Raw genomic sequence first — 16,713 nt, forward strand, 5'->3', positions numbered from 1 at the left:
ATCCTATTGATCTGTTCTTCGAGTTCACTGATTCTGTCATCTCCACTCTACTATTGAACCTACCCAGCAAATTTTTCATTTCTTGGTTCTTGGTATGATAGGTGACTTTTCATTGTATTCTGAACATCATGTCTATTATGTTAGGAGACTCTGGGTTCTATGTAACTTTTAATTTATCAGGCAGTCATACTATTTAGGTTTAGCACACAAGTCCTAGTTTTTATGGGCTGTGATTCCAATGGTAGTTTTATTTTCAGAATCTATGAAGTGTCATATTGGTCTGCTTGATTTATCTGGTGCCACCGGGGCTCTTTCTGGTCCCTGATGTTGCTTCCTGAAGGGGAGGAAGTGTTTCTCTAGGTTGACAGCAAGGTGCCTTTTGGTGGGGGAGGGGATGTGGTGGGGCACCCTGTTAGTGTCTGTAGCTATCTAGCATCTTTGGGAAGGGCAGAAGAGTGTCAGGCCTACAGAGACAAAGAGACTTCCTGGAATAGGCCACTTACTGTGGCTACATTCCTTTTTTCTCTTCTATCTGCCTACTTCAGCATCTCGCAGCAAAAGAGGACAGTCTAAGATCTACCCAGCAGGGAAGGGGAGCACTTCTCCAGCTGTTTGTTTTTGTCGGGGTTTCTGATTGATCTCTCTTGCCACTGGTGTCTGACTCACTGACTGTTGTTGGAGGGACTCCCATTCCATCTGAGGAGAATAACTAACGGGCTTAACTAGGCTGCCTTCTGGTGCTCAAACAGGGTTAAGGAAATGTCAGGTTTGAATGGCCTTTCTTGGTTGGGTGGAGAGATGCAAGATGCTCTGCTTTTGTACTGTTTCTCCACGAGTCACAAACTGGTTTGCCTTCCCCTTACCACCATTCAGAATTCTGCTTGGTTGTCTCTTGTGCCATTTTCAGAGTTTATAGTTGTCTTAAAAGGGGGAAATGGGTTTTCTCAATCTTGTCCGGATCAGAAGTCTCCTAAGCCTTTTTTGTTGTTCTTGTTGCAAGACAAACTTGTTCTAGCCATAAAGACTTTTCCCTTGATGTTCTCTGCCTGGAATGCTCTTCTTTGAGATTGTTGAATGTTTGGCTTATAGTCTCTGTTCAAATGCCATCTTAGAGACACTTACCTTACCTAATGTAGTCTCCCATCACCACTCATACTTACTCAATTACTTTGATCACTTTATCCTGTTTTACTTCTTTGTAGCACTTAATACGTTATGGGATAACCTTGTCATTTTGATTGTTTGCTGTGGTCTCCACCATCTCTAAAGTAAGCTCTAAGGGAGAAGATTTCTGTCTGTAAGAGTAAAAACATAGAATGAAGTGGGCCATTTTCTTTCTTGTTCATTGGTGTGTGTTTATAACAGTACCTGACAGAGAATAGGCCCTCAATACATGTTTGTTAAATGAATGTATGCATCCAGCCCTAATTAAAATATCAAGGTGATCTGACACAGGTATCAGACAGATGTCCAGTGCTATTACCAGCAGACTGATATCCTGAGCTGTCTAGGACAGGTTTTATGGGTATGGAGTATAGAGGAGACCTGTTCTATTATAGTAAATAGTTGACTTCAAATATACTTTTTTTTTTTTTTTTGAGACGGAGTTTCACTCTTGTTGCCCAGGCTGGAGTGCAATGGCACGATCTCGGCTCACTGCAACCTCCACCTCCCGGGTTCAAGTGATTTTCCTGCCTCAGCCCCCCAAGTAGCTGAGATTACAGACGCATACCACCATGCCTGGCTACTTTTTGTATTTTTGGTAGAGACAGGGTTTCACCATGTTGGTCAGGCTGGTCTCGAACTCCTGACTTCAGGTGATCCACCTGTCTCAGCCTCACAAAGTGCTGAGATTACAGGCATGAGCCACAGTGCCCAGTCCCAAATATACTTTGAAGGAACATCTGGGAGGTCCACATTTGCTAATATCTGCCATTCTCTGAAACACTTCTGTCTAGGTTAAGGCCAAGACAAGGTATCCTGAATTCCTAACTTTTGCATTCATGAAGATGACATCACCATGTGCCTCATCATTATGATCATTTATTGTCATACTCCAGGATTTATATGGATCCTAAAATATAGTAGGCTTCCAACAATATGCTAAGAATGTTCATCTAAAAATAGCTTCTCCTTCTCCCAGCCACAGCACCATCTTAGTGAAGATAGACACTATTGAGGAAATGGCCCACTTCATTCTATGTTTTTACTCTTTATGCATACCAGCCTCTGCTATCTTTCTCTTCCAGGACCTTCCCCTAAGCAAATCTCAGAAAACCCAAACTTCGCCTCCCCTTGAAAGGGTGACCTGAGCCCTAGCGACAGTAGCTCAAGGAGTAATAGTGTTAATTGTTTCGTTTCAGCTCAATTAAAGTGTTGGAGGTGCTTCAAACACATTCTAACCACTCGTTTGTAGCAGACATGAAGGTATGCTGCTCAGATCTGCCTTTAAGAGAACACCTGCCACAAGGAGTTCAATTAGCTGACAGCCTCCAGAGCTGTAGCATCTTTAGGATCTGCATCTTCTTTTGAGCTGAGCCCATATGCTTCTGGGCAGTCCTCACACAATGACTGAGGTAGGGGTGAATGGAGCTTACCATTTCTGGCCAGTGCAGGATGCCTCTGTGGGTAGTCTTTGTATGGGAAAGATTACTGTTGAACTGGCTGAGATTTCTCAGAGCTGCATCACAGTTTAAGGCTCTTCTTATCCTATTCTTCTTCCTTCTCCCTCTTGTTTTACAATGGTTATGCCTGTAGGTGGTATGAAGGCTTTCTCTGCCTACTTCTGCTTCCTATCCCCTCTTATCATTTACTGGTCTTACCCCCATTAAAATCTCTTTTGTTCCTATCTTTTGGCGTCTGCTTCCCAGAGGAACCAAAATGATGTATCCCTTACCCCTTCTTGATTTTAGGATCTCCGTGTCTGAAAGTTTTTCAGCTACTACCTTGATTCATATTATCTTCTGGGCTCTTTGATGCTGACATCCTGTTTTGGATGATCCTTTCATTATGGGCCATGGAACTTTGTTTCAGACAGAAGCATCATCTGACATTTTCTCTCTAGCTCCATAGACCATGACCACCAGTGTGGTCTATATATTTAACATTGGTTTAGAGGATAGAAACCTTAGGTTCTTGTCTCAGTTCTACTACTTATCACCATTTAACCTTGGGAAAATCACCTGCCCATTCTGTGCCTTAGTTTTTCTGTTTATAGTAAAAGGCTGGGACTAAATGACCTTGAAGGTCCATTCCATCTTTGACATTACCTATCTGTATATCACAGGATCCTCTGGGTCAGCAGATTTCAGTAAGGAACACTCTACTGCCATAAAAATACACAGAAAATGATGGTGGCTTTGCCCACAGCCTATTGTAAGACTATTTAAACACAAAAGGGCTAAATGTAATCATATGGGGTGAGTTTAGGAAGTGACAGGCCAGAGCTTGAAGCTAAGCCTGCGTCCTAAAATGAGATGGCAATAATGGGTAGAAGTGATGAAAAGTCCAGGCAAGAGGAAAAACTATGGTGTGCAGAAAATGTAAAGACACACCAGCTCTAGTCCTGTCAGCATCAAAGAAGTACAATTAAGTTAACAAGGCATTCATCCCATGAGCAGAGCAGCAGTGAGGAATCTAGGAATGTCTAAGCAGATGAGCAGTACCATCCAAAGAAGGAGGGAAATTGGAGAATCAGGGAAGGACAGGGAAGAAAGATAGGTTTTTAACCTTAGAAGTTGAGGCACAGGGCAGGTTATGAAGTCAGGCAACTAGGTAGCTAGACAGGGAGAGATAAGCTCTGGGCCCCAAGTGTACTTGTCTTAGGAACAAAGCCCAGCTATTAGATACAAGGTAAAAAGTTAGCCTACAAGCAGCTAGCTAAAGCTCTTTATCTGATGCCACTCATTTGCCAGCACTATTGGTCTGGGACAGAAGCTACTAGTAGGTAGGAAGTGTGAGAAGAGGAGGACTGTGCACAAGCAGGTCCATAGTATCACAGTTAAGAGCATGGGCTCTAGAGCCAGAGAGCCCTAGGTTTCAAGACTGGCTCTATGTCTTATATACTATGTGATCTTCAGCAAGTTGCTGAAACTCTCTGAACCTTTATTTCCTTCTGCAAAGAAGGGATAGTAATATCTCTTTATAGGCCTAGGGTAAGGATTGAATGAGTTACTCCACAGAAAGAATTGAGTCCTATGCCTGGCACACTGCTACAGTTTGAATGTTCCCCCAAAAACTCATGTTGAAATTTTTTTCACATAAGTTATTGGGGTACAGGTGGTGTTTGGTTACATGAGTAAGTTCTTCAGTGTTGATTTTGAGATTTTGGTGCACCCATCACCCGAGCAGTATACATTGCACCATATTTGTAGTCTTTTATCCCTCACCCCCTCCTACTCTTCCCCACAAGTCTCCAAAGTCCATTGTATCATTCTTATGCCTTTGTGTCATCATAGCTTAGCTCCCACATATCAGTCAGAACATACGATGTTTGTTTTTCCATTCCTGAGTTACTTCACTTAGAATAATAGTCTCCAATCTCATCCAGGTCGCTGCAAATGCTAATTCATTCCGTTTTATGGCTGAGTAGTATTCTATCGTGTGTATATATACCACAGTTTCTTTATCCACTCATTGATTGATGGGCATTTGGGTTGGTTCCATAATTTTGCAATTGTGAATTGTGCTGCTATAAACATGCATGTGCAAGTATCTTTTTCGAATAATGACTTCTTTTCCTCTGCGTAGATACCCAGTAGTGGAATTGCTGGATCAAAGGGTAGTTCTACTTTTACTTCTTTAAGGAATCTCCACACTGTTTTCCATAGTGGCTGTACTAGTTTACATTCCCACCAGCAGTGTAGAAGTGTTCCCTGTTCACTGCATCCACGCCAACATCAATGATTTTTTGATTTTTTGATTACGGCCATTCTTGCAGGAGTAAGGTTGTATCACATTGTGGTTTTGATTTGCATTTCCCTTATCATTAGTGATGTTAAGCACTTTTTCATATGTTTGTTGGCCATTTGTATATCTTCTTTTGAGAATTGTCTATTCATGTCCTTAGCCCACTTTTTGATGGGATTGTTTGTTTTTTTCTGATTTGTGTTCCTTGTAGATTCTGGATATTAGTCCTTTGTCAGATGTATAGTTTGTGAAGATTTTCTCCCACTCTTTGGGTTGTCTGTTTACTCTGCTGATTGTTCCTTTTGCTGTGCAAAAGCTCTTTAGTTTAATTAGGTCCCAGTTATTTATCTTTTTTTAATTGCATTTGCTTTTGGGTTCTTGGTCATGAAATCCTTGCCTAAGCCAATGTCTAGAAGGGTTTTTCCAATGTTATCTTCTAGAATTTATATAGTTTCACGTCTTAGGTTTAAGTCCTTCATCCATCTTCAGTTGATTTTTGTATAAGGTGAGAGAGAAGGATCCAGTTTCATTCTCCTACATGTGGCTAGCCAATTATCCCAGCACCATTTGTTGAAAAGGGTGTCCTTTTCCCACTTTATGTTTTTGTTTGCTTTGTCAAAGATCAGTTGACTGTAAGAATTTGGGTTTATTTCTGGGTTCTCTATTCTGTTCCATTGGTCTATGTGCCTATGTTTATACCAGTACCACACTGTTTTGGTGACTTTGGCCTTAGAATATAGTTTGAAATTAGGTAGTGTGATGCCTCCAGATTTGTTATTTTTGCTTACCCTTGCTTTGGCTATGGTCTCTTTTTTGGTTCCATATGAATTTTGGAATTTTTTTTCTAGTTCTGTGAAGAATGATGGTGATATTTTTATGGGGACAGCATTGAATATGTATATTGCTTTTGGCAGTATGGTCATTTTCACAATATTGATTCTACCCATCCATGAGCATGGGATGTGTTTCTATTTGTTTGTGTCATCTATGATTTCTTTCAGCAGTGTTTTGTAGTTTTCCTTGCAGAGATCTTTCGACTCCTTGGTTAGGTATATTCCTAAATATTTTATTATTTTGCAGCTATTGTAAAAGGTGTTGAATTCTTAATTTGATTCTCTGGTCACTGTTGGTGTATAGGAGAGCTACTGATTTGTGTACATTAATCTTGTATTCATGTTGAAATTTAACTGCTAATGTAACGGTATTGGGAGGTAAGACCTTTAAGAGGTAATTGAGTCATGAAGGCTCTGCCCTCATGAACGGATCAATGCTGTTATCATGAGAATGGGTTAGTCATCATGTGAGCAGACTCCTGATAAAAAGATAAGTTTTGTCTCAATTTTCTTGCTCACCATATGATGTATTCTGCCATGGGATAACCCTTGCCAAATGCTGGTGCAGTGCTCTTGGACTCCCCAGTCTCCAGAGCTGTGAGCCAAATGCACTGTTCTTTATAAATTACCCAGTCTGTGGTATTCTGTTTAAAGCACAGAAAATAGACTAAGACATACATTGTAAGTGCCTAGTAAATGTGAACTAATGTTCTTATCCCTTGTCTGACATTGGCCTTGAATAATGCAAGCCCCTTCTCATCAGTTCCCTAATTTGTGAGAATGAAAACAGGAGCCTTCATGGTTGTTTATAAGTTATAAATTCTCATTCTAGGGAAAGCGCTCATTAATATTCTTACCACTATTTCTTATAGACAGCACCAGAGGCTGAGATTTATTTAATATGAACAATTTAAAATAATTTCTGTAAGCGCACACACAGCTAGCTTTCAATTACTCACTCTAATGGAGAAGATCAGAGTCATAGGTAATCTAAAACTGTGCCAAATCCAAAGTCATCTCTGTTTGGCTTGGAAATGAACTGGATACACTTTTTTTTTTTTTTTTTTTTTTGCAGCATATTTACCTTTTGGATTTTTTTGTGCTTGGCCAATAATAAAATAAATTTACATTATCTAAGCACACTAGCTGACAGCACGTGAAAGTGCACAGAAATACTCCTGGGGAAAAAGAGAAGCTAAGATCATGATACTAAGTTTGCTGCAATGAAGAAGGGATTTACCATACATTTTTATTAGTGATTCTCAGAGTTTAGAAGAGATTTTTTAAAATTGTATGGGGAACTTGTTAAAAATGCACATTCGCAGCTCCAACCATTTTATAGGTGAGAAAACTGAGGTTCAGATAGGGGAACTGACCTGCTCCATGTTGTAAAGTTGAGGGCACAATGGGAAGTAGGACCTAAGTCTCCACAGCTCCTCATATAATGTACTAGGCAGCGATAATAATGGAGTCCTCTGAGGAAGAGAATAGAGAGAGAAGGCCATGTAGAAGGCAGAATAATGAAACTTGGGGATATTTTCACATTTGGTAGGGTGAGAGAAGGAAAAGAAGACAGCAAGAATGAGAAAGTGAATGAAGTTAATTTCTTTGAACTTGGCTGATCTCTCAGAAACTTCTAACCCAGTAGTTCTCAAACTACTATGCACCCAGGTCAATTTGAGCACCTGTTGAAAATATGGATCCCCAGACAATCTGATTTAATAGGTCTGAATTAGAGCTTAAGTTTGTGTTCTTTTTTCTTTAAGTCAGCACCCCATGTGATTCAGAATTAAGTAAATGGAAAATCACATCTTGAAAAATATTTGTCTAACCTTCTAAGATCTTGAAGTTTACGTCAAAATGTTTTAAGGAAATACCAAGATCTTTGAAAACGTGGGATTTCCCCTGTTGAATTACTTGGGACCAGGGATGAACTTTGACAGCCCAAAAGCTGCTGTGAGTGAGCACTCTGTCTGAGTAGTGAAAGCATGGCATGCTGCTTGAGGATGCAGGCTTTAGCACTACACTGGTCTGTGTTCAAATCCTGTTTCTGACACTTACTAGCTAAGTCATCTCTGTCAAATTCTTTGCTTCTGTGTGCCTCAGTTTCCTCATCTGCAAAGTGGGAATAATAATAGTATCTGCCTAGTAGAATTGTTTTGAGGGCGGTCTGTAAAAGTGTTTAATTTAGCAATCACTCAAACACAGCTTAGATTATTACTTTTTTCTTTTTCAGCGTTGCTTGCATGGTGGATCTTTTGCTCAGGATAAATCATCTGAAGACTCTAAGGCAGTTACAGTGACCAACTTTACCTGTTTGCCCAGGACCGAGAGGTTTCCCAGGATGCATGATTTTGGTGCAAAAAGACAGGCCCAAGCAAACCAGGATGGTTGGTCACTCTGAAGGCAGACCTCTCTGAAGCCCTTCAAGTACTTATTTGCATACATAATATTTTTTACTGGTAAACAGTAGTTATCAGCTGCTCTGCTAATTCAACAAGGAATAATTGCTGAAGGTTATCTGATACTATACATCTAGTAGCTACTCCAACTAAAATTTCTAACTTGAGCAGCTTGCAGAGAAGTGCATGGGAGTGATGCACACTTCTGGGATTCCCGAAATTCCCTATATCTGGATTGTGCTCAGCTGTACTGTATATATTTCTTAACTAGGTGATAGATTTCTTTTTGTAAATATGTGGTTGTCTATTAATAGGATCACAATAGTCTCAGAATTCTATTTGGTGGCTCAATAAATGTAAGCTGAATGAATAAATGACTATCAATTGAAATGTCTTCACTTGGGTGTTTGGGAGACTTGATTTATGAAATTGAGAGGTACAGTTTGAAAACCATCTCAGACAGCAATTTCCTCCCTTGCACAGCACTAATTCTCTCTTAATGTGGCTTCCCAGAATAAAGGCATGACACAAGACAGGCACTTACCTTGTCTTGGTGAAAAGGCTCTTGAGATGCCTGTGAAGAGGATTTTCAGAGTTTCTAAATTTGGCCCTGAAGTCATCTGAGATGCGTATACATTCACATATACATATACATATACATCTGTCAAAAACAGAGCAATGCCAGGATAAAGTCACATATCTCACCCAGCTATGTCCCAGATGGGACATGACCTTTGTTGTATACACTCTTTTGTGGACTAGTGCTTTGTACATGTTAGGGTGATGAGGTTAAGGGTTTAAAAGGCCTTTCTTTTTAAAGATCCATTGTGTTTTCTCAGGCTGGAAAAATTGTCATCCTCCATTCGCCACTAGATGGCCCATCATTCAAAAAAATTCCTTGTTTTCTAAAAAAAAATTTAGGGAACAAGGTTCCCATAATGATTTGAGTATTCCCATCATGATTTTTCAGCCATATCATAGCAAATCACCATATATTCTTTCAGTATTTACTTTAAATTGGCTACTTTCTAACTTAAATATGCCTATTTTAGAAGTAAACTGGAAGGTGAACAGGAAAAAAGAGAGAAAGTTATACATAGATGAAAAATTCAATGGCCCTGGAGAGAAAGAGCTGCCTCAAGGATGAATAGGAAGGGGAACTGGGCCTGGAGTTGGTGATTCAGGACTCAAGGGGCCAAGATCAATAGTAGGCAGAAAGATAAAGGGGGCGGGTGAGAAAGAAGGACTCTCAAAACTGACACGGAAAAGCTGGGCCAGAGGTAGGAAGAGGGAGGCATGGAACCTGGGGGATAGAGAGCGGAGCTGAAACAAATATAGAAATGTTGGCACAAAATGTTTGTGTAAGAGAAGGCTACAACTGAGTCGGGCATACCAGAAGCTGAAAGAAAGGTGAAGCCTAGCAGTATAGTTTGAAGTCAGGTAGCGTGATGCCTCCAGCTTTGTTCTTTTGGCTTAGGAATGACTTGGCAATGCAGGCTCTTTCTTGGTTCCATATGAACTTTAAAGAAGTTTTTTCCAATTCTGTGAAGAAACTCATTGGTAGCTTGATGGGGATGGCATTGAATCTATAAATTACCTTGGGGAGTATGGCCATTTTCACAATATTGATTCTTCTTATCCATGAGCATGGAATGTTCTTCCATTTGTTTGTATCCTCTTTTATTTCCTTGAGCAGTGGTTTGTAGTTCTCCTTGAAGAGGTCCTTCACATCCCTTGTAAGCTGGATTCCTAGGTATTTTATTCTCTTTGAAGCAATTGTGAATGGGAGTTCACTCATGATTTGGCTCTCTGTTTGTCTGTTATTGGTGTATAAGAAAGCTTGTAATTTTTGCACATTGTTTTTGTATCCTGAGACTTTGCTGAAGTTGCTTATCAGCTTATGGAGATTTTGGGTTGAGATGATGGGGTTTTCTAGATATACAATCATGTCATCTGCAAACAGGGACAATTTGACTTCCTCTTTTCCTAATTGAATGCCCTTTATTTCCTTCTCCTGCCTGATTGCCCTGGCCAGAACTTCCAACACTATGTTGAATAGGAGTGGTGAGAGAGGGCATCCCTGTCTTGTGCCAGTTTTCAAAGGGAATGCTTCCAGTTTTTGCCCATTCAGTATGATATTGGCTGTGGGTTTGTCATAAACAGCTCTTATTATTTTGAGATACGTCCCATCAATACCTAATTTATTGAGAGTTTTTAGCATGAAGGGCTGTTGAATTTTGTCAAAGGCCCAAAACAGCATGGTACTGGTACCAAAACAGAGATACAGATCAATGGAACAGAACAGAGCCCTCAGAAATAACACCACACATCTAAAACTATCTGATTTTTGACAAACCTGGCAAAAACAAGAAATGGGGAAATGATTCCCTATTTAATAAATGGTGCTGGGAAAACTGGCTAGCCATATGAAGAAAGCTGAAACTGGATCCCTTCCTTACACCTTATACAAAAATTAATTCAAGATGGATTAAGGACTTAAATGTTAGACCTAAAACCATAAAAACCCTAGAAGAAAACCTAGGCAATACCATTCAGGACATAGGCATGGGCAAGGACTTCATGTCTACAACACCAAAAGCAATGGCAACAAAAGCCAAAATTGACAAATGGGATCTAATTAAACTAAAGAGCTTCTGCACAGCAAAAGAAACTACCATCACAGTGAACAGGCAACCTACAGAATGGGAGAAAATTTTTACAATCTACCCATCTGACAAAGGGCTAATATCCAGAATCTACAAAGAACTCAAACAAATTTACAAGAAAAAAAAAACAACCCCATTAACAAGTGGGCGAAGGACATGAACAGACACTTCTCAAAAGAAGACATTTATGCAGCCAACAGACACATGAAAAATGCTCATCATCACTGGCCATCAGAGAAATGCAAATCAAAACCACAATGAGATACCATCTCACACCAGTTAGAATGGCGATCATTAAAAAGTCAGGAAACAACAGGTGCTGGAGAGGATGTGGAGAAATAGGAACACTTTTACACTGTTGGTGGGACTGTAAACTAGTTCAACCATTGTGGAAGACAGTGTGGCGATTCCTCAGGGATCTAGAACTAGAAGTACCATTTGACCCAGCCATCCCATTACTGGGTATATATCCAAAGGACTATAAATCATGCTGCTATAAAGACACATGCACACGTATGTTTATTGTGGCACTATTCACAATAGCAAAGACTTGGAACCAAGCCAAATGTCAAACAATGATAGACTGGATTAAGAAAATGTGGCACATATACACCATGGAATACTATGCAGCCATAAAAAATGATGAGTTAATGTCCTTTGCAGGGACATGGATGAAGCTGGAAACCATCATTCTCAGCAAACTATCGCAAGGACCAAAAACCAAACACCGCATGTTCTCACTCATAGGTGGGAATTGAACAATGAGAACACTTGGACACAGGAAGGGGAACATCACACACCAGGGACTGTTGTGGGGTGTGAAGAGGGGGGAGGGATAGCATTAGGAGATATACCTAAAGTAAATGACGAGTTAATGGGTGCAGCACACCAACATGGCACATGTATACATACGTAACAAACCTGCACGTTGTGCATATGTACCCTAGAACTTAAAGTATAATAAAAAATATATATGTATATATATGTATGTGTGTATATATATATATATATACACATATATATATATAAAAGGTGAAGCCTAAGGAAGAGATGTGGGGTTGGGGCCTGAGGAGATGAAGAGGATAAAGAGGTATATCAGACGCTCTTCGTTGCAATGTTTCCATTTCCCCTCCACTTCTTTCCTTTGGGGAACATTAAGCAACACCGTTTAGTAACCAAGCCCGAAATTGCGGCCCAATAGACCACAGACCTAGAATGCCTTACCTACAAACCTTGTTGCCATGTGTGTTTTGGAATTCAGAATTGTTTGGATTTCAGAAAGGTGACACAAGCATACACTAGACATTAGATAACATACCTAGTGAGGCCTGGGGCAAAACCCCATAAGCAAACACATTAACATTTCTGCAGTGAAATGTATGATTTATTATACTTAGTGGGCTAGATGAAGACTATGAAATAGTTCAGGTTTGGTTTTGTCGCCAAAAGCATTTTGATGCCAAACTAATAAAAAACAAACAGCCTTTGATTTTCAGAGCCTTTTGAACTGTGCGTACTGTTTATGTCTTATTTTTGAATCTGGGTCATGGGCACATAGCTGTTTGTCGTATTACTGTTCATACCTTTTGTAGGTGTGAAATATGATTTTTTAAAACCTTTGAATTGCCTAGGCTCATGTCTGTTCTAAGAGGGAGCATGACACAATACTACATTCATAGAAGGCTTACTAAACACTTGTGGAATTGAACTAACTGGATCTAGCCCTCCTACATGTATTCTTTGTTAACTTGGCCTTAGAGAAAGCAACAGATGCTCTTCTAATTAGGGAGGTTAGTCTGGTTACAAATATAAATAAGAGTTAAGCTGGAACAAAGGCTATGCCTAGGAAAAATGCCTTCATTCCTTTATTCATTAACTCGACAAATATTGAGGACTACTGTGAACTTAGCACCGTGCTAAAAGTTGAAAAGCCATAGGAGGTATCATATAAACAAAGTTCTATCTCTTCCATTGAGAAATTGAAAGTCTGGTGGAGAAGATGAGCTGCTCTCGCCTACCTGTGATTTAATGGGCAGAATGCCACAGGATAGGCATGGTGTGCCATGAAAGCTCCAAGCAGATGTGCTCTCTGCCCAGCATATGGATACTGATGCATGCCTGGAGAGTTTAATAGAGGAGCTGAGATTACAGCAGTTTCCACACTGTTACCATCTAAAATGGCAATCTGCTCTCATTGCTCCCTAGCCTATGGGGGATTGGGTCGTCATTAAATTAGATTTCTGAGGTTTTTCTGTATCCAAGAAGGAGGACAATGCAAGGCCACATTTGGCGCCATCTAGTGCTTAATGAGTGCCATCTTGGATGGCCCCCAAAAGCAAAGAGTCAAGGGCTCCAGCGTGATATTTTAAAAGTTTCTCTGACCTGGCCGGGCGCGGTGGCTCACGCCTGTAATCCCGGCACTTTGGGAGGCCGAGGCGGGTGGATCACGAGGTCAGGAGATCCAGCCCATCCTGGCTAACACGGTGAAACCCCGTCTCTACTAAAAATATAAAAAATTAGCTGGGCGTGGTGGCGGGCGCCTGTAGTCGCAGCTACTCGGGAGGCTGAGGCGGGAGAATGGCGTGAACCCGGGAGGTGGAGGTTGCAGTGAGCCGAGATCGCGCCACTGCACTCCAGCCTGGGCGACAGAGCGAGACTCCGCCTCAAAAAAAACCAAAAAAGTTTCTCTGACCTGAAACCCCCTGCTCCAAACACTCCTGCCCCAATAACTTACTTCATCAAAAAGAAGGGCTTTTCCTGGAGTCCAGAGATAGCTGAAGCTGAGCATCTTGGTTTACCTCTTCCTTGATCTGGCCTATTTCAGCTCAGCCTGGGGCTATACCGTGATGTGGGTAACTAGATTCTTCATCCATAAAATGGGGATAATTAAACAAATTGACATACATAAAGTAGTTAAAACAATACTTGGCACATAGTAAGCACTGTTAACGGTGTGCCCACCTAACTATTAGGTTAATGTCAGGATTAAGCAGTCAAGCAGTACCCCAGTTCCAATGAAGTCCACCAAGGAATCTGCATCTCAAAAAGTTGACTCTGTGGGGGTCAAAGCTTCTGTTTGGGAAGAGGAGCTGGTACTCAACACCAAGGCCTATAAATTTCACGAATGTGCACTCATAGCCTAGAAAAGGAGGCTGGGACAGGGATGCCCCCACCCATTCCAGTGAATTACTCTCACTAAGATCACCAATAAACCAATAACCTTCTTGTTGGTAAATTCAGTGGATGATTTTCAGCCTTTATCTTCTCTGACCTTTTTCTTTTAGCAGGTGGCATGGGCACTGTTGAGCCTTCCTTTTCTCCTTCATGAGACACTCCCTTGGCTTACAAGATACCACACTCTCCAGGTTTTCCTTCCCCTCTGGCCAGCCCTGACACTTATTTGCACACACTTCTTCCTCCATCCATCTCTCAATTCTGCTGGTGACCCTCAAGAGTCTTTCCTAGGAAGCCTTCTCTTCTCACTAGCCATATTCTCCCCTGGGCAATCTTATCCACACCTATGACTCCATTGACCCATATGCTGATGACTTCTAAATCTAGCCCAGATCTCTCTTCTGAACTCCATACCCATAGATCTGGCTGTCAACCAGACATTTTCACATAGATGTTTTATAAGCACCCCAAACTCTACATGGTCCTAATTCAACTTACCATCCCAGCTCACCTCCACAGACAAAAGATCTTGCTCCTCCTCCTATGTTCCCTACCCCTATCTCCCACTTCACCTACTTCTGATTGATGTGTACGTAGTTCTACTCCGAGATTATACCCTGTATGCATACACTTATTTGTTTCCACTATCACTACCCTAATCCAGGCCACCGTCATCTCTCGCCTACAACAGCTTTCTAATGGGTCGCCTTCCTTCTTGCTTTTTCCCCCTCCAGTCTACGTCTCACGCTAAAGCTAGAAGGAGTTTTCTGAAATAGTAAAGATGATCAGGTCATTTCCTATGCTTAAAACCTTTTGACAACTCCTCACAGTCTTTAGGTAATAATAATTATAGCTTATATTTATATAGTACTTAATATGTATCAGGCATTCCTCTGGGATATATATATATATACATATAGCCAACAACCAACGAAGAACTGAAGACTGGAACAGCTATGTGTAGGAGCTTGGAACTGGATCATCGAGCCCCAGTCAAACCTTGAGATTAATGCCCTGGTCAACAGGATGATTGCACCTTGAACAAGAACTATCCAAATAAAGCACTCCCAGATTCCTGATCCTTAGAAACAGATAATAAATATTTGTTGTTTTAAGCTGCCAAGTTTTGGGGAAAATTGTTACACAGCAATAGATAACATATCACTGTAGTATATTACCTCTAACTTCATTTATTTATTCATTCAACCAACCAAAAACTATTTAACGAGTACCAAATAAGTGCCAGGCACCATGTTACATACTGAAAACTATTTCTCTGTCCACCCTCTCTTACCTTTGTCTCTCTACATAACAGTGAAAAGGAAATATCTCCCAATCCCAAAAGGTGACATGAGTTCTCATGTTTCTGTGCTTCTGTGCTGCCAGAGCTCTCTTTTGCCTCTTTCTCAGCCTGGCTACCTCCCACTCTTTCTTAAAGTTGGGTTCCTGTATCACCACCTGTCTCAGTCATGCCACCACCTTCTACTCTATTAGCATTCTGTATATACCTCTCTTATATCATTTAACTCACCAGAGCATAATAGACTCTTTCCTTGTCCAACCAAACTGAACCTTGGAGGGGGAACTATATCTTACTGATCTACGTGTTCCCAGTGTGTGCTTCAGGGTATGTGGAATGAATGAACCAATGGATGAGAGAATGTAAGCTCTTGGGATGGCAGTGATCTTTGTCTTCTTGTTTAGTGATGTATCCCAAATGCCTGACACAGTGCCTGGTACATAGTCAGTGTTCAATAAGTATCTTTTGCATGTTTTTGAAGATTTAATGAAGAAACAAATAAATGAGTACAAAGCAAGTCACCTCATGTTGTCTTCCCACTATCTCACCCAAGCCTATCTTTCTTTAGGCAATGCCCAGTGTTCTAGTAGTATTCATCTCATCCTTCCTGTCTTTTAAAAATGCATTCTTTACAAAGGACTAATCTTCTTTTGTTCTATTTTTATTTATTTATTTACATTGTATTTTGTTTGTAATTGATATCTTAATTGTACATATTTATGGGGTACAGTGTGGGGTTTCAATACATTGTGTATATATTACATAATGATCAAATCAGAGTAATTAGCATATTTCTCACTTCAAACACTTGTCATTTCTTTGTAGTAAGAGCATTCAAAATTTTCTTTTCTAGCTATTTTGAAATATATAATATGTTATTGTTAACTGTAGTCACCCCACTGTGCTGTAGAACACCAGAACTTATTCCTCCTAACTGTAACTTTGTACCCACTGACCAACCTCTCCCCATTCCCCTCTCCGCAATCTCATTACTCACAATTTTTCTCACTACTTCTGTGAGATAAACTTTTTTATATTCCATATATGAGTGACATCATGGAAGTATTTGGCCTTCCATGCTTGGCTTATTTCACTTAACATAATGAAAAGACTAATATTCTTAATTTGTAATTATTAAGCATCTCATGCCTGTACCAAAACATTTCATGTACCCCATAAATATACACAGCTATATATCCAAAGAAATTAAATTTAAAAATTAAAAAAATAAAAATTTAAAGGGTTAAAAAAATATATAAAGAGCTCCTGGAAACTAAGTAGGAAAAGATTGACAATACAATGGAAAAATGAGCAAAGGACATGAACAGAGTGTCCATAGAAAATGAAATTAAAACAGCCCTTGAACATCTGAAAAGGCACTCAACCACACTCACAAGTATAAACTAAAACCAAATATACACAGCATTTCC

Source organism: Homo sapiens, chromosome X, assembly GCF_000001405.40.
Source record: "Homo sapiens chromosome X, GRCh38.p14 Primary Assembly".
Lineage (NCBI taxonomy): Eukaryota > Metazoa > Chordata > Mammalia > Primates > Hominidae > Homo > Homo sapiens.